This window comes from Homo sapiens, chromosome 11, assembly GCF_000001405.40.
Source record: "Homo sapiens chromosome 11, GRCh38.p14 Primary Assembly".
Lineage (NCBI taxonomy): Eukaryota > Metazoa > Chordata > Mammalia > Primates > Hominidae > Homo > Homo sapiens.
Window position 1 is genome coordinate 108,362,065 of NC_000011.10, and position 18,596 is coordinate 108,380,660.

Sequence of the window (18,596 nt, forward strand, 5' to 3'; positions counted from 1 at the left end):
TATCCAGAATCTACAATGAACTCAAACAAATTTACAAGAAAAAAACAAACAACCCCATCAAAAAGTGGGTGAAGGACATGAACAGACACTTCTCAAAAGAAGACATTTATGCAGCCAAAAAACACATGAAAAAATGCTCATCATCACTGGCCATCAGAGAAATGCAAATCAAAACCACAATGAGATACCATCTCACACCAGTTAGAATGGCAGTCATTAAAAAGTCAGGAAACAACAGGTGCTGGAGAGGATGTGGAGAAATAGGAACCCTTTTACACTGTTGGTGGGACTGTAAACTAGTTCAACCATTGTGGAAGTCAGTGTGGCGATTCCTCAGGGATCTAGAATTAGAAATACCATTTGACCCAGCCATCCCATTACTGGGTATATAACCAAAGGACTATAAATCATGCTGCTATAAAGACACATGCACACGTATGTTTATTGCGGCATTATTCACAATAGCAAAGACTTGGAACCAACCCAAATGTCCAACAATGATAGACTGGATTAAGAAAATGTAGCACATATACACCATGGAATACTATGCAGCCATAAAAAATGATGAGTTCATGTCCTTTGTAGGGACATGGATGAAATTGGAAATCATCATTCTCAGTAAACTATCGCAAGAACAAAAAACCAAACACCGCATATTCTCACTCATAGGTGGGAATTGAACAATGAGAACACATGGACACAGGAAGGGGAATATCACACTCTGGGGACTGTGGTGGGGTGGGGGGCGGGGGGAGGGATAGCATTGGGAGATATACCTAATGCTAGATGACGAGTTAGTGGGTGCAGCGCACCAGCATGGCATATGTATACATATGTAACTAACCTGCACAATGTGCACATGTACCCTAAAACATAAAAGTATAATTTAAAAAAAACTAAAAAAACAAACAACAAAACAAACAAACAAAAAAAACACACCCTCCAATGCTTTGTGTATTTTACACTCATCTACCTAATCTTCCCTCCGTAAATCTGTCCGAATTTCCCCAAATCATTTGGTGTGATTGTTCCAATCTTCAAGAATAATTTTCCCAGTGATCTTACCACAGTAAGACCCTTTCTGCCTTCAGCTTTAGGAGGGTGCTTCTCAATTAGCATCCTGGTTCCCAGTCCTCTGGGACATCATTTCTTTCCTCTCTTGGATTCATTTCTTTTCTTCTCTTAGATTTCATTGAGGCACAGTCACTATTTCTGAACTGATCTCCCCGCTTCCTAAGCCCCTCCTTCAGAGCACTTTAACCTGGGTGTATTTCCCTTTTCTTTTCAGTGTATTTGTCTCTCCTGGCCTTCAAGATTTTATTTTCTTCCTAATGGACCATTCTCTCCTCTAAGATTTTATGTGTTATGCTAAGGAAATATATCTCTCCCTCTAACTCAGTGATGCTTAGCCAAGAGCAGTTTTGTCCCCTAGAGGACAGTTGGCAATGTCTGGAGGCATTTTTATTGTCACAATTGGGGATGGGAGATGAGGATAGTATTGGCATCTACTGGGTAGAGGCCAGGGATGCTGCTGAACACCTCAGAATGTACAAGTTAGCCCCCACAGCAAAGAAATACCCCATCCAAAATGACAATAGTGCTGAGACTGAGAAACCCTGCTCTAGCTTAATCAGTCTGTATTCCTTTACTGTTTCCAACCACTTCTGTCTTGTCAGACTGAAACATAATTTTTTACTTATTCCAGTTCCTCCTTAATTCTAATATTTGCAAGTATGATTCCTGACACAAGCCCTTGGTTTTGAAGTAATTTAGATTTTTCTTCTACTTCAACCCAAGAAAACCATCTAGTCTGTATTAGAGGCCTTCATTCCTTTTCATTAGTTCATTAATAAAATATATTAATATTTCCCTTTTGTGGGTGAAACTGGTTTGGATCTCTGAAATCTAAAGCCATGTCAGTGCCCAACTTGAAGTCACATAGGAAACCTTGAACTTAACGGACAAGCTACATGTAATCAAGCTCAGTTTCTCCACAGTATTTAATGGTCCTGGAGGACACTCAAAACAGCATTAAAAAATAGAGAGATTTTGGTTCTGCTAATCTAGTACGTGTCCTGAAACTAAATCTGCTAAAGGCATTTTATAGTCCCAACCTGCAGATTTACTGAGAAACTGTATACAGATAGCAGCAAAAAAGTGTTCCAACCTTGTAATACTGGAATGCCCTGTAGAATCATTCTTTATATTGTCTCCACTTATTACTAAGATTTGTAAGCATTTGCTAAAGCCTATTTTTTTTAAAGTTCTGTGTTTATAAATACCAGAGCAGTTAGCTGTTCTGAACTGCCAATATCAGAAATTCCTCATGAACTCACTTTCTAAAATTTACGACCTAAAGCTACTTGCTCTAGCCATGTCAGTTGTTTTGGTATCCTAATTCTACACCTAATATATATCTCAAGATTCCAAACGCAGCACCAAACCTTGGGTTTTGAGGAGGTTTCAACAAATTATACCTTTCTGGATCCACCCAGATTTAGAACTGAGAGAAAAAGAGCCATAGGAATAGGGTGGAGATCAGAATTTCAGATTTGTTACTGATAAAACTATTGGAGAAGACGGCTTAGGAGTGAGGTCCAAATAGGCTTGCTGGTGCTCTCCAGTTCCCACATCCCAATCTATACCTTGAGACAGCCTGGGCTGAGGAAGAATTGGGCCCTACAAAGCAAATACACTAACCCAGGGTTAAGAGTAGAGAGAGAAGGAAAGAAAGTGACTAACCTTTTAATAGATTAGTTTCATCCAGTCAGGAAACATGGGTCAAGGGATGTCACCCCTAACCATGGAGGAAGAATGAATTCAGAATGAAATGAGAAGCTTGGAGCATTATGCTAGGATAGTTTCCTCAAGGAAACATGAAGTGTGCATGATGTTTGTTCCCCTCCCCCATCAACTACCATGTGACTGGCTTATTTGTATGATACTGGTTCTACTGTTTCTAAGTATGTGATTAAAATGTACATTGTTCTTTTAATACATATGTTCTCTCTGTTTAGGTCCTTCTATATGATCCACTCTTTGACTGGACCATGAATCCTTTGAAAGCTTTGTATTTACAGCAGAGGCCGGAAGATGAAACTGAGCTTCACCCTACTCTGAATGCAGATGACCAAGAATGCAAACGAAATCTCAGGTGAGCAGTATTTTAAGAAGGTCCTGTTGTCAGTTTTTCAGATTTTCTTATTCCCAAGGCCTTTAAACTGTTCACCTCACTGAAACCTTTGTGTTTTTGTCCTTAGTGATATTGACCAGAGTTTCAACAAAGTAGCTGAACGTGTCTTAATGAGACTACAAGAGAAACTGAAAGGAGTGGAAGAAGGCACTGTGCTCAGTGTTGGTGGACAAGTGAATTTGCTCATACAGCAGGCCATAGACCCCAAAAATCTCAGCCGACTTTTCCCAGGATGGAAAGCTTGGGTGTGATCTTCAGTATATGAATTACCCTTTCATTCAGCCTTTAGAAATTATATTTTAGCCTTTATTTTTAACCTGCCAACATACTTTAAGTAGGGATTAATATTTAAGTGAACTATTGTGGGTTTTTTTGAATGTTGGTTTTAATACTTGATTTAATCACCACTCAAAAATGTTTTGATGGTCTTAAGGAACATCTCTGCTTTCACTCTTTAGAAATAATGGTCATTCGGGCTGGGCGCAGCGGCTCACGCCTGTAATCCCAGCACTTTGGGAGGCCGAGGTGAGCGGATCACAAGGTCAGGAGTTCGAGACCAGCCTGGCCAAGAGACCAGCCTGGCCAGTATGGTGAAACCCTGTCTCTACTAAAAATACAAAAATTAGCCGAGCATGGTGGCGGGCACCTGTAATCCCAGCTACTCGAGAGGCTGAGGCAGGAGAATCTCTTGAACCTGGGAGGTGAAGGTTGCTGTGGGCCAAAATCATGCCATTGCACTCCAGCCTGGGTGACAAGAGCGAAACTCCATCTCAAAAAAAAAAAAAAAAAAACAGAAACGTATTTGGATTTTTCCTAGTAAGATCACTCAGTGTTACTAAATAATGAAGTTGTTATGGAGAACAAATTTCAAAGACACAGTTAGTGTAGTTACTATTTTTTTAAGTGTGTATTAAAACTTCTCATTCTATTCTCTTTATCTTTTAAGCCCTTCTGTACTGTCCATGTATGTTATCTTTCTGTGATAACTTCATAGATTGCCTTCTAGTTCATGAATTCTCTTGTCAGATGTATATAATCTCTTTTACCCTATCCATTGGGCTTCTTCTTTCAGAAATTGTTTTTCATTTCTAATTATGCATCATTTTTCAGATCTCTGTTTCTTGATGTCATTTTTAATGTTTTTTTAATGTTTTTTATGTCACTAATTATTTTAAATGTCTGTACTTGATAGACACTGTAATAGTTCTATTAAATTTAGTTCCTGCTGTTTATATCTGTTGATTTTTGTATTTGATAGGCTGTTCATCCAGTTTTGTCTTTTTGAAAAGTGAGTTTATTTTCAGCAAGGCTTTATCTATGGGAATCTTGAGTGTCTGTTTATGTCATATTCCCAGGGCTGTTGCTGCACACAAGCCCATTCTTATTTTAATTTCTTGGCTTTAGGGTTTCCATACCTGAAGTGTAGCATAAATACTGATAGGAGATTTCCCAGGCCAAGGCAAACACACTTCCTCCTCATCTCCTTGTGCTAGTGGGCAGAATATTTGATTGATGCCTTTTTCACTGAGAGTATAAGCTTCCATGTGTCCCACCTTTATGGCAGGGGTGGAAGGAGGTACATTTAATTCCCACTGCCTGCCTTTGGCAAGCCCTGGGTTCTTTGCTCCCCATATAGATGTCTAAGCTAAAAGCCGTGGGTTAATGAGACTGGCAAATTGTTCCAGGACAGCTACAGCATCAGCTCACATATTCACCTCTCTGGTTTTTCATTCCCCTCATTTTTTTCTGAGACAGAGTCTTGCTCTGTCACCCAGGCTGGAGTGCAGTGGCATGATCTCAGCTCACTGAAACCTCTGCCTCCTGGGTTCAAGCAATTCTCCTGCCTCAGCCTCCCGAGTAGCTGGGACTACAGGCGTGTGCCAACACGCCCGGCTAATTTTTTGTATTTTTATTAGAGACGGAGTTTCACCGTGTTAGCCAGGATGGTCTCGATCGCTTGACCTCGTGATCCACCCTCCTCGGCCTCCCAAAGTGCTGGGATTACAGGTGTGAGCCACCGCGCCCGGCCTCATTCCCCTCATTTTTGACCGTAAGGATTTCCCCTTTCTTGTAAGTTCTGCTATGTATTTAAAAGAATGTTTTCTACATTTTATCCAGCATTTCTCTGTGTTCTGTTGGAAGGGAAGGGCTTAGGTATCTAGTTTGATACATAGGTAGAAGTGGAACATTTCTCTGTCCCCCAGCTGTCATCATATAAGATAAACATCAGATAAAAAGCCACCTGAAAGTAAAACTACTGACTCGTGTATTAGTGAGTATAATCTCTTCTCCATCCTTAGGAAAATGTTCATCCCAGCTGCGGAGATTAACAAATGGGTGATTGAGCTTTCTCCTCGTATTTGGACCTTGAAGGTTATATAAATTTTTTTCTTATGAAGAGTTGGCATTTCTTTTTATTGCCAATGGCAGGCACTCATTCATATTTGATCTCCTCACCTTCCCCTCCCCTAAAACCAATCTCCAGAACTTTTTGGACTATAAATTTCTTGGTTTGACTTCTGGAGAACTGTTCAGAATATTACTTTGCATTTCAAATTACAAACTTACCTTGGTGTATCTTTTTCTTACAAGCTGCCTAAATGAATATTTGGTATATATTGGTAGTTTTATTACTATAGTAAATCAAGGAAATGCAGTAAACTTAAAATGTCTTTAAGAAAGCCCTGAAATCTTCATGGGTGAAATTAGAAATTATCAACTAGATAATAGTATAGATAAATGAATTTGTAGCTAATTCTTGCTAGTTGTTGCATCCAGAGAGCTTTGAATAACATCATTAATCTACTCTTTAGCCTTGCATGGTATGCTATGAGGCTCCTGTTCTGTTCAAGTATTCTAATCAATGGCTTTGAAAAGTTTATCAAATTTACATACAGATCACAAGCCTAGGAGAAATAACTAATTCACAGATGACAGAATTAAGATTATAAAAGATTTTTTTTTTGTAATTTTAGTAGAGACAGGGTTGCCATTGTATTCCAGCCTTGGCGACAGAGCAAGACTCTGCCTCAAAAAAAAAAAAAAAAAGGTTTTGGCAAGCTGGAACTCTTTCTGCAAATGACTAAGATAGAAAACTGCCAAGGACAAATGAGGAGTAGTTAGATTTTGAAAATATTAATCATAGAATAGTTGTTGTATGCTAAGTCACTGACCCATATTATGTACAGCATTTCTGATCTTTACTTTGCAAGATTAGTGATACTATCCCAATACACTGCTGGAGAAATCAGAATTTGGAGAAATAAGTTGTCCAAGGCAAGAAGATAGTAAATTATAAGTACAAGTGTAATATGGACAGTATCTAACTTGAAAAGATTTCAGGCGAAAAGAATCTGGGGTTTGCCAGTCAGTTGCTCAAAAGGTCAATGAAAACCAAATAGTGAAGCTATCAGAGAAGCTAATAAATTATAGACTGCTTGAACAGTTGTGTCCAGATTAAGGGAGATAATAGCTTTCCCACCCTACTTTGTGCAGGTCATACCTCCCCAAAGTGTTTACCTAATCAGTAGGTTCACAAACTCTTGGTCATTATAGTATATGCCTAAAATGTATGCACTTAGGAATGCTAAAAATTTAAATATGGTCTAAAGCAAATAAAAGCAAAGAGGAAAAACTTTGGACAGCGTAAAGACTAGAATAGTCTTTTAAAAAGAAAGCCAGTATATTGGTTTGAAATATAGAGATGTGTCCCAATTTCAAGTATTTTAATTGCACCTTAATGAAATTATCTATTTTCTATAGATTTTAGTACTATTGAATGTATTACTTTACTGTTACCTGAATTTATTATAAAGTGTTTTTGAATAAATAATTCTAAAAGCATATACTAAGACTCATTCACTTTATTCAAATATTTGTGTGTTCTGTGTGCCAGGCATGGGACTCGTTCTAAGGAGAAAGCAGTGAGCAAGGCAGGCATAGTCTGCCTATATAAAGCTCCCAATCTGAGGAGGATAGGCAACTGACCACGCAGTGTGAACCGGGGAGCCTATTGCACAACCAGTCTGATAATGCTGCATCTCAGTCTAAATATCCTAGTAGTGTTTCTTAGTCGCCTCCTGACGAAAAGGCAAATATGAATGTTCTTTCTTTGGGCCTAGAAAGTGATCTAGTTGACATTTCTAGCCTAAAAGATCTGTACTAGAATATGACAAGTGCAAAGATCCTGGTATCCTAAATGCAAAGTTTTTTACCTGTTTATCATATTTTTAAAATAAATTCAGTCCTCTGGAGTTTTAGTCTCTTTTGCCTAGATTTTAACAAAATGCATTTTGCATAAATATAGTGGAGTCAAAGTTTCCACAAAGATTATAATGACTCAGAATTTGGTAAGTAAGGAGATCTCATAATAGACATTATCCTCTGAAAAATCCCTTTGCCATTAAAAGTACAGCATACACAGTTTTATGTACAACAGTATGTAGAAATATATACTTTCATTGTGTATGATCCAAAAGCAGTGGTTCTTAACCAGGGGTGATTTTGCTGCCTCACTTGATATTTTCAAAATAAAGTTATTGTTATTTTGATGGGAACAAAATGGTATCATGTCTCATTTTAATTTGTACCTCACTAATTACTAGGGAGATTAAATGTTTTAGTATACACTTGTTAGTCAGTATGATTTTCTCTGATGAACTGCCTGTACGTATTCTTTGCTGATATTTCTACTGATCCTTTGTTGGTTATGTAACATCTTAGCTAACATCTTTTCCAATTCTGTAGCTTGTCTCTTCATTCTCTTAATGGAGTTTTTTTGGTTGACAGACATTTTTATTAGTGTTTTCATTAAGGTTAAATCTTTCAGGTAGGGATTTTCCCTTGTTCCTAATGTCACTCAGTTAAGTTTTAGTTTTCCTTGCAGAGATCTTGTATAGTTTTACTATGTTTATTCCTAAGCACTTTGTTTTTTTAAATGTTCTTATAAAGGACATTTTTTTCATAAGTTTTTCCTAATTATTACTGTTAGAATTAAAATTAGTTTTTACATATTGATTTTTCTATCCAGTAACCACAGTAAGCTCTTTTAATTCTTTCTAGAAATATATCTGGATTCTTTTGGATTTTCTATATATATAGTCATATCATCTATGAGTAATGTTTGGATTTTCTATGTATATAATCATATCATCTATGAATAATGTCAGAAATGGAATTGTTAGATCATATTCCAATCTATACTGTTTGCTTTTTTTTTTTCCTTGCCTCATTTTACTGGCTAGGACCTCTCTTTAGCACAATCATCAGTAGAATATTGGGACATTCTAGTCCTGTGCCTCATCTCAAAGATAAAAGTGTAAGTGTTTACCTTTAAATTTACTGTTTGCTGCAGGGTTTTGTTTTGTTTTTTTTTAATGTGTGTATTTCCCTTATCAGATTAAAGAAGTTCCTTTCTGTCCCTAGGCTGCTGTGAGGTTTTATTACAGATGGTGAATTTTAGCAGTTTATCTGCATTTATTGATGATGATTATTTTCCTTGAATCTGTTAATGTAGTGAACTACACTGTTTGATTTTCTAAGGTTAAATCATCTTATACTCCTAGTATAACCTCAACTGATCCATTTTATCTATTGCTTTATTTTGCTTGCAAACGTTTTGGTTAGTGTTTCCAAGTGGGATTTCCTTTCCAGCATTTCTTGAGAAACTTTTTGTTTTCCCAAATTTTGAATCCCAAGAAAAATCAGTAATAAAATCAGGAAAATAGGAAAGATATTATAATTCTCCGGTGAGAATTAAAGCTTAGCAATCAACATAGACACATTGCTGATTTGAAGGAATCCAGCAACACAAACAGCACTGAACACTGAGACATAGTATTAAAGGTTAAGGTCAGTATTCCCATACTGGGACAGAAACATAGGAGAGAAGTGGTCATGATCTTGCTTATTAGTTCTTGCCATGATATAAGTGTGTGTTCATAGCCGGTATACTACTAATGGTGAGTCACTTAAAAACACCCACACACACACAACAAAATTTACCATCTCGTTTTTAAGTATACGGTTCAGTAGCGATAAAATACATTTCCAGTGGTGTGCAACCAACCTCCAGCACTTCTTTAACCTTACAAAACTAAAATTCTATACCCATTAAACAACTCCCCACTCCTCTATTCAACCAGCCCCTGAGAACTACTGTTCTACCTTTTGTCTCTCTGCATTTGACATTCAAGGTACTGTACCTTTTATAAGTAGAATCATGCAATATTTGTCTCTTTGTGACTAGCTTATTTCACTTAGCATAATGTCCTCAAGGTTCGTCTATGTTGTAATATATTGCAGAATTTCCTTCCTTTTTAAGGCTGAATAATATTCCATTGTGTATGTGTATATACTGTATATATTTTATTTATCCATTCATCCATCAGTGGATACTAGAGTTGTCTCTACCCTTTGACTATTGTGAATATTGTCACTATTTACATGGGTATACAAATATGTCTTCAGAACTCTTTTTTCTTTATACCCAGAAACGGAATTGTTGGATCATATAGTCATTCTATTTTTAACTTTTTAAGGAGCCACCATACTGTTTTTCCACAGTGGCCGAACCATTTTACAACTCCACCATCAGTGCACAAGGGTTGCAATTTCTCAACATCCTTATCAACACTTATTTTCTGTTTTTATGTTTTGAGTAGCAGACATAATGGGTGTGGGTGACTCTTACAAGTAGAAGCATTGTATATTTTACACAAATCCTATAAATGGTATTCTAAGTTTTAGAAACAAAAAATGTCCTTCAATTGACGGTTTCAAAACCTGATTCTGTGTATTGTTGTTAACCTTGTTAGGAGATCGTAACGTTAGGTTACTTGAAAACTACCCAAAATGTTCCCTACTGTAGTGTTTGAATATTTAATATAAACTTATAACTCTTTGTAACACTAAATTTTATTCATTCATTCATTCATTCATTCATTCATTCATTCTGAGATGGAGTCCCGCTCTGTCGCCCAGGCTGGAGTGCAGCAGCACGATCTCGGCTCACTGCAACCTCTGCCTCCCAGGTTCAAGCGATTCCCCTGCCTCAGCCTCCCAAGTAGCTGGGACTACAGGTGCCCACCACCATGTCCAGCTAATTTTTGTATTTTTCATAGAGACAGGGTTTCACCATGTTGGCCAGGCTGGTCTCAAACTCCTGACCTCAGTGATATGCCCGCCTCAGCACCCCAAAGTGCTGGGATTACAGGCGTGAGCCACTGTGCCTGGCCAATAATTCTTATTTCTTAAACAGTGTTTTTAGATTTCCATGATTATGAGAGTTGCAAAGGTTTTAAGACAGAAAAAGGAAATTAGCTGTTTGCCAGATTTATTTTAAATCATTGCAGTGTAAAGCATCATGGACAAGTGGACTTCACAGGCATTTCAAAGATGAAAAGGACAAAAACACAGAAAATAATTGTGGTAAGTCAGTGCCATCTATGAAATGATACCAATTCTACAAAAACTCTTCATAATATTAGAATAACCCATTTTATGAAGCCAGCATACTCAAAACCAGACAGAGAATTACAAGAAAGATGCCGGGCACACATCTGTAATCCCAGCACTTTGGGAGGCCAAGGTGGCAAATCACTTTTAAGTCAGGATTTTGAGACCCTGGCCAATATGGTGAAACCCCATCTCTACCAAAGATTTAAAAAAAAAAATTAGCTGGGTGTAGTGGCACATGCTTGTAATCCCAGCTACTCAGGTGGCTGAGGCACAAGAATCACTTGAACCCAAGAGGCAGAGGTTGCAGTGGGCCGAGACGTGCCACTGCACTCCAGCCTCGGTGACAGAGTGAGACTGTCTCATAAAAAAAAAAAATTAAAAGAAAGAAAACTAAAGACCAATATCCTCCATGAACATTGATGTAAAAATCCTCACAAAATATTAGCAAATCAATTCTATCAATATAAGAAAGAGGTAAATCATGACCAAATGGCATTATTCCAGATTGACTCAATCAATGTAACTAAATAAACCATATGATCATGCCAATAGTGCAGAAAAAGCTTGTGAGAAAATTCAGTACTCATTCATGATAAAACTCATCAAACTAGGAATAAAAGACATCTGACAAAGGACATCTGTGAAAAACTTACAGCTCACGTCATATTTAATGATGAAAACCTTGGTTATCTCCAAAGATCAGGAACAAGGCAAGGATGCCACTCTTACCACTTCTATCCCACATTGCACTGGAGTTCCTAGCCATGCAGTAATGTAAATAGAAAGCAATAAAAGACATACCGTTTTAAAAAGGAAGAAGTGGGAGGAGCCAAGATGGCCAAATAGGAACAGCTCCGGTCTACAGCTCCCAGTGTGAGCGACGCAGAAGACGGGTGATTTCTGCATTTCCATCTGAGATACCGGGTTCATCTCACTAGGGAGTGCCAGACAGTAGGTGCAGGACAGTGGGTGCAGCGCACCGTGCGCCAGCCGAAGCAGGGCGTGGCATCGCATCACACGGGAAGCGCAAGGGGTCCGGGAGTTCCCTTTCCTGGTCAAGGAAAGGGGTGACAGACGGCACCTGGAAAATCGGGCCACTCCCACCCGAATACTGCGCTTTTCCGACGGGCTTAGGAAACGGTGCACCAGGAAATTATATCCCGCACCTGGCTTGGAGGGTCCTACGCCCACGGAGTCTTGCTGATTGCTAGCACAGCAGTCTGAGATCAAACTGCAAGGCTGCAGCGAGGCTGGCGGAGGGGCACCCGCCATTGCCCAGGCTCGCTTAGGTAAACAAAGCAGCCGGGAAGCTCCAACTGGGTGGAGCCCACCACAGCTCAAGGAGGCCTGCCTGCCTCTGTAGGCTCAGAAACCTCTGCAGACTTAAATGTCCCTGTCTGACAGCTTTGAGGAGAGCAGTGGTTCTCCCAGCACGCAGTTTGAGATCTGAGAATGGGCAGACTGCCTCCTCAAGTAGGTCCCTGACCCCTGACCCCTGAGCAGCCTAACCGGGAGGCACCCCCCAGTGGGGCAGACTGATACCTCACATGGCCAGGTACTCCTCTGAGACAAAACTTCCAGAGGAACGATCAGACAGCAGCATTCGCGGTTCATGAAAATCCGTGGTTCTGCAGACACCGCTGCTGATACCCAGGTAAACAGGGTCTGGAGTGGACCTCTAGCAAACTCCAACAGACCTGCAGCTGAGGGTCCTGTCTGTTAGAAGGAAAACTAACAACAGAAAGGATATCCACACCAAAAACCCATCTGTACATCACCATCATCAAAGACCAAAAGTAGATAAAACCACAAAGATGGGGAAAAAACAGAGCAGAAAAACTGGAAACTCTAAAAAGGAGAGCGCCTCTCCTCCTCCAAAGGAACGCAGTTCCTTACCAGCAATGGAACAAAGCTGGATGGAGAATGACTTTGACGAGTTGAGAGAAGAAGGCTTCAGATGATCAAACTACTCCGAGCTACAGGAGGAAATTCAAACCAAAGGCAAAGAAGTTGAAAACTTTGAAAAAAATTTAGACAAATGTATAACTAGAATAACCAATACAGAGAAGTGCTTAAAGGAGCTGATGGAGCTGAAAGCCAAGGCTCGAAAACTACGTGAAGAATGCAGAAGCCTCAGGAGCTGATGCGATCAACTGGAAGAAAGGGTATCAGCAATGGAAAATGAAATGAATAAAATGAAGCGAGAAGGGAAGTTTAGAGAAAAAAGAATAAAAAGAAACGAACAAAGCCTCCAAGAAATATGGGACTATGTGAAAAGACCAAATCTACATCTGATTGGTGTACCTGAAAGTGATGGGGAGAATGGAACCAAGATGGAAAACACTCTGCAGGATATTATCCAGGAGAACTTCCCCAATCTAGCAAGGCAGGCCAACGTTCAGGTTCAGGAAATACAGAGAACGCCACAAAGATACTCCTCGAGAAGAGCAACTCCAAGACACATAATTGTCAGATTCACCAAAGTTGAAATGAAGGAAAAAATGTTAAGGGCAGCCAGAGAGAAAGGTCGGGTTACCCTCAAAGGGAAGCCCATCAGACTAACAGCGGATCTTGGCAGAAACCCTACAAGCCAGAAGAGAGTAGGGGCCAATATTCAACATTCTTAAAGAAAAGAATTTTCAACCCAGAATTTCATATCCAGCCAAACTAAGCTTCATCAGTGAAGTAGAAATAAAATACTTTACAGACAAGCAAATGCTGAGAGATTTTGTCACCACCAGGCCTGCCCTAAAAGAGCTCCTGAAGGAAGCACTAAACATGGAAAGGAACAACCAGTACCAGCCACTGCAAAATCATGCCAAAATGTAAAGACCATCAAGACTAGGAAGAAACTGCATCAACTAACGAACAAAATAACCAGCTAACATCATAATGACAGGATCAAATTCACACATAACAATATTAACTTTAAATGTATATGGACTAAATGCTCCAATTAAAAGACACAGACTGGCAAATTGGATAAAGAGTCAAGACCCGTCAGTGTGCTGTATTCAGGAAACCCATCTCACGTGCAGAGACACACATAGGCTCAAAATAAAAGGATGGAGGAAGATCTACCAAGCAAATGGAAAACAAAAAAAGGCAGGGGTTGCAATACTAGTCTCTGATAAAACAGACTTTAAACCAACAAAGATCAAAAGAAACAAAGAAGGCCATTACATAATGGTAAAGGGATCAATTCAACAAGAAGAGCTAACTATCCTACATATATATGCAACCAATACAGGAGCACCCAGATTCATAAAGCAAGTCCTGAGTGACCTACAAAGAGACTTAGACTCCCACACAATAATAATGGGAGACTTTAACACCCCACTGTCAACATTAGACAGATCAACGAGACAAAAAGTCAACAAGGATACCCAGGAATTGAACTCAGCTCTGCACCAAGCGGACCTAATAGACATCTACAGAACTCTCCACCCCAAATCAACAGAATATACATTCTTTTCAGCACCACACCTATTCCAAAATTGACCACATAGTTGGAAGTAAAGCTCTCCTCAGCAAATGTAAAAGAACAGAAATTATAACAAACTGTCTCTCAGACCACAGTGCAATCAAACTAGAACTCAGGATTAAGAATCTCACTCAAAACCGCTCAACTACATGGAAACTGAACAACCTGCTCCTGAATGGGTACAGTACATAACGAAATGAAGGCAGAAACAAAGATGTTCTTTGAAACCAACAAGAACAAAGACACAACATACCAGAATCTCTGGGACACATTCAAAGCAGTGTGTAGAGGGAAATTTATAGCACTAAATGCCCACAAGATAAAGCAGGAAAGATCCAAAATTGACACCCTAACATCACAATTAAAAGAACTAGAAAAGCAAGAGCAAACACATTCAAAAGCTAGCAGAAGGCAAGAAATAACTAAAATCAGAGCAGAACTGAAGGAAATAGAGACACAAAAAACCGTTCAAAAAATTAATGAATCCAGGAGCTGGTTTTTTGAAAGGATCAACAAAATTAATAGACCGCTAGCAAGACTAATAAAGAAAAAAGGAGAGAAGAATCAAATAGACACAATAAAAAATGATAAAGGGGATATCACCACCGATCCCACAGAAATACAAACTACCATCAGAGAATACTACAAACACCTCTATGCAAATAAACTAGAAAATCTAGAAGAAATGGATAAATTCCTCGACACATACACTCTCCCGAGACTAAACCAGGAAGAAGTTGAATCTCTGAATAGACCAATAACAGGATCTGAAATTGTGGCAATAATCAATAGCTTACCAACAAAAAAGAGTCCAGGACCAGATGGATTCACAGCCGAATTCTACCAGAGGTACAAGGAGGAACTGGTACCATTCCTTCTGAAACTATTCCAATCAATAGAAAAAGAGGGAATCCTCCCTAACTCATTTTATGAGGCCAGCATCATCCTGATACCAAAGCCGAGCAGAGACACAACCAAAAAAGAGAATGTTAGACCAATATCCTTGATGAACATTGATGCAAAAATCCTCAATAAAATACTGGCAAACTGAATCCAGCAGCACATCAAAAAGCCTATCCACCATGATCAAGTGGGCTTCATCCCTGGGATGCCAGGCTGGTTCAATGTACGCAAATCAATAAATGTAATCCAGCATATAAACAGAACCAAAGACAAAAAACACATGATTATCTCAATAGATGCAGAAAAGGCCTTGGACAAAATTCAACAACCCTTCATGCTAAAAACTCTCAATAAATTAGGTATTGATGGGACGTATCTCAAAATAATAAGAGCTATCTATGACAGTCCCACAGCCAATATCATACTGAATGGGCAAAAACTGGAAGCATTCCCTTTGAAAACTGGCACAAGACAGGGATGCCCTCTCTCACCACTCCTATTCAACATAGTGTTGGAAGTTCTGGCCAGGGCAATCAGGCAGGAGAAGGAAATAAAGGGTATTCAATTAGGAAAAGAGGAAGTCAAATTGTCCCTGTTTGCAGATGACATGATTGTATATCTAGAAAACCCCACTGTCTCAGCCCAAAATCTCCTTAAGCTGATAAGCAACTTCAGCAAAGTCTCAGGATACAAAATCAATGTACAAAAATCAGAAGCATTCTTATACACCAATAACAGACAAACAGAGAGCCAAATCATGAGTGAACTCCCATTCACAATTGCTTCAAAGAGAATAAAATACCTGGGAATCCAACTTACAAGGGATGTGAAGGACCTCTTCAAGGAGAACTACAAACCACTGCTCAACGAAATAAAAGAGGATACAAACAAATGGAAGAACATTCCATGCTCATGGATAGGAAGAATCAATATCGTGAAAATGGCCATACTGCCCAAGGTAATTTATAGATTCAATGCCATCCTCATCAAGCTACCAATGACTTTCTTCACAGAATTGGAAAAAACTACTTTAAAGTTCATATGGAACCAAAAAGGGCCCGCATCGGCAAGTCAATCCTAAGCCAAAAGAACAAAGCTGGAGGCATCACGCTACCTGACTTCAAACTATACTACAAGGCTACAGTAACCAAAACAGCATGGTACTGGTACCAAAACAGAGATATAGATCAATGGAACAGAACAGAGCCCTCAGAAATAATGCTGCATATCTACAACTATCTGATCTTTGACAAACCTGAGAAAAACAAGCAATGGGGAAAGGATTCCCTATTTAATAAATGGTGCTGGGAAAACTGGCTAGCCATATGGAGAAAGCTGAAACTGGATCCCTTCCTTACACCTTATACAAAAATTAATTCAGGATGGATTAAAGACTTAAACGTTAGACCTAAAACCATAAAAACCCTAGAAGAAAACCTAGGCATTACCATTCAGGACATAGGCATGGGCAAGGACTTCATGTCCAAAACACCAAAAGCAATGGCAACAAAAGCCAAAATTGACAAATGGGATCTAATTAAACTAAAGAGCTTCTGCACAGCAAAAGAAACTACCATCAGAGTGAACAGGCAACCTACAAAATGGGAGAAAATTTTCGCAACCTACTCATCTGACAAAGGGCTAATATCCAGAATCTACAATGAACTCAAACAAATTTACAAGAAAAAAACAACCCCATCAAAAAGTGGGTGAAGGACATGAACAGACACTTCTCAAAAGAAGACATTTATGCAGCCAAAAAACACATGAAAAAATGCTCATCATCACTGGCCATCAGAGAAATGCAAATCAAAACCACTATGAGATACATCTCACACCAGTTAGAGTGGCGATCATTAAAAAGTCAGGAAACAACAGGTGCTGGAGAGGATGTGGAGAAATAGGAACCCTTTTACACTGTTGGTGGGACTGTAAACTAGTTCAACCATTGTGGAAGTCAGTGTGGCGATTCCTCGGGGATCTAGAACTAGAAATACCATTTGACCCAGCCATCCCATTACTGGGTATATACCCAAAGGACTATAAATCATGCTGCTATAAAGACACATGCACACGTATGTTTATTGCCGCACTATTCACAATAGCAAAGACTTGGAACCAACCCAAATGTCCAAAAATGATAGACTGGATTAAGAAAATGTGGCACATATATACCATGGAATACTATGCAGCCATAAAAAATGATGGGTTCATGTCCTTTGTAGGGACATGGATGAAATTGGAAATCATCATTCTCAGTAAACTATCGCAGGACAAAAAACCAAACACCGCATATTCTCACTCACAGGTGGGAATTGAACAATGAGAACACATGGACACAGGAAGGGGAACATCACACTCTGGGGACTGTTGTGGGGTGGGGGGAGGGGCTAGGGATAGCATTAGGAGATATACCTAATGCTAAATGACGAGTTAATGGGTGCAGCACACCAGCATGGCACATGTATACATATGTAACTAATTCGCACATTGTGCACATGTACCCTAAAACTTAAAGTATAATAATAATAAAATAAAATTAAAAAAAAAAGGAAAATCCATAGCTCCTGGGTTTATTTAAGTAACCCTTACTCAGGGTTAGCCTGCTAAGGGACTTCTACACAAGGACAAATAACATTAGACTGTACCTAGAAGTTCCCTTGACAAGGTGAAGGGAGCACAGGCCAGCTGCTTTACTTTCTTACTCCTCAAGCAGGACTTGGTGATAAATGTTATATGGAATGTCTTGGAGAGTAAATAGTCATGGATATAATTTCTCAAAAAGGGGTAATATTTGACAGATTTCATGGGGGAAGTTTATTTGCTGTGAATTGTCAGATCTAGCAGGCACAGTAGATACCCATTACATGAGACATTTGGGAATTATCTCCAGCAGATTTGAAAAGCACAAGTAAGTTACACAGCAAGAGCCCTCATCTCCACGTCACCTAATTCAGTTGCCCAAATGCTTCTCTCTCAGGCCACACTGATGATACTGACTATGGTATACCTATGGTACATCACTCAAGGTAGAGACGTTCCCTACGAACTTGGGCCTTGCTCATGAATGAGTTGGCTCAAGCTAAAACTGCATTGATGCCTTACTACAGCTCCACTTAGGTATAGCCCTAAAGAACAGTGCTAAGGGAAAATCCTAGTGGGCAAAGCTTTGAGCACTATACTTGGTCATTCACTTCTTATTGAGAGAGAAGTAGCCTTAAGTAGAGATACACATGGATTCTTGGGCAGTGGCAAATTGACTCATTGGTCAGGTACTTAACTTGGAAAGGGCAAAATTAGATCAGAGACAAGGAAATCTGGGAAATGTCATAACAATTGACTTATAAGGTGTGGATCTTCACATATCACTTTTATGCTTACCAGAGAGCATCCACTACAGAAGAGACATTAAACAACCAGATGTATAAGGTGACTTTGGCACTGAGGGCCAGCCAACATGCTCTTGGCCACCCTAGTGCTTGTGCAATTAGCTCATCTACAGAAGAGTCATGATGGCATGGATGGAAGCCAAGCGCCCAAAATCATGGGCCTTTTCTC

General features: G+C 39.3%; 2 protein-coding genes across 35 annotated transcripts in view; one reads left to right on the forward strand and one right to left on the reverse strand.

Moving 5' to 3' along the window:
• ATM (ATM serine/threonine kinase) overlaps window positions 1-7,038 on the forward strand; it is a 146,036-nt gene extending 138,998 nt beyond the window's left edge. For all 14 annotated transcript variants that reach the window (XM_011542840.4, XM_047426977.1, XM_006718843.5 and 11 more), the window contains 2 exons: window positions 3,018-3,154; window positions 3,261-7,038. In XM_011542840.4, the coding sequence (XP_011541142.1) occupies window positions 3,018-3,154; window positions 3,261-3,444 (321 nt within the window). In that variant the 3' untranslated portion in view covers window positions 3,445-7,038. The remainder of the gene's footprint in view (window positions 1-3,017; window positions 3,155-3,260) is intronic.
• Window positions 1-18,596, reverse strand: part of C11orf65 (chromosome 11 open reading frame 65) — a 161,363-nt gene that overhangs the window by 53,546 nt on the left and 89,221 nt on the right. The gene's annotated exons all lie outside the window — the stretch shown is intronic.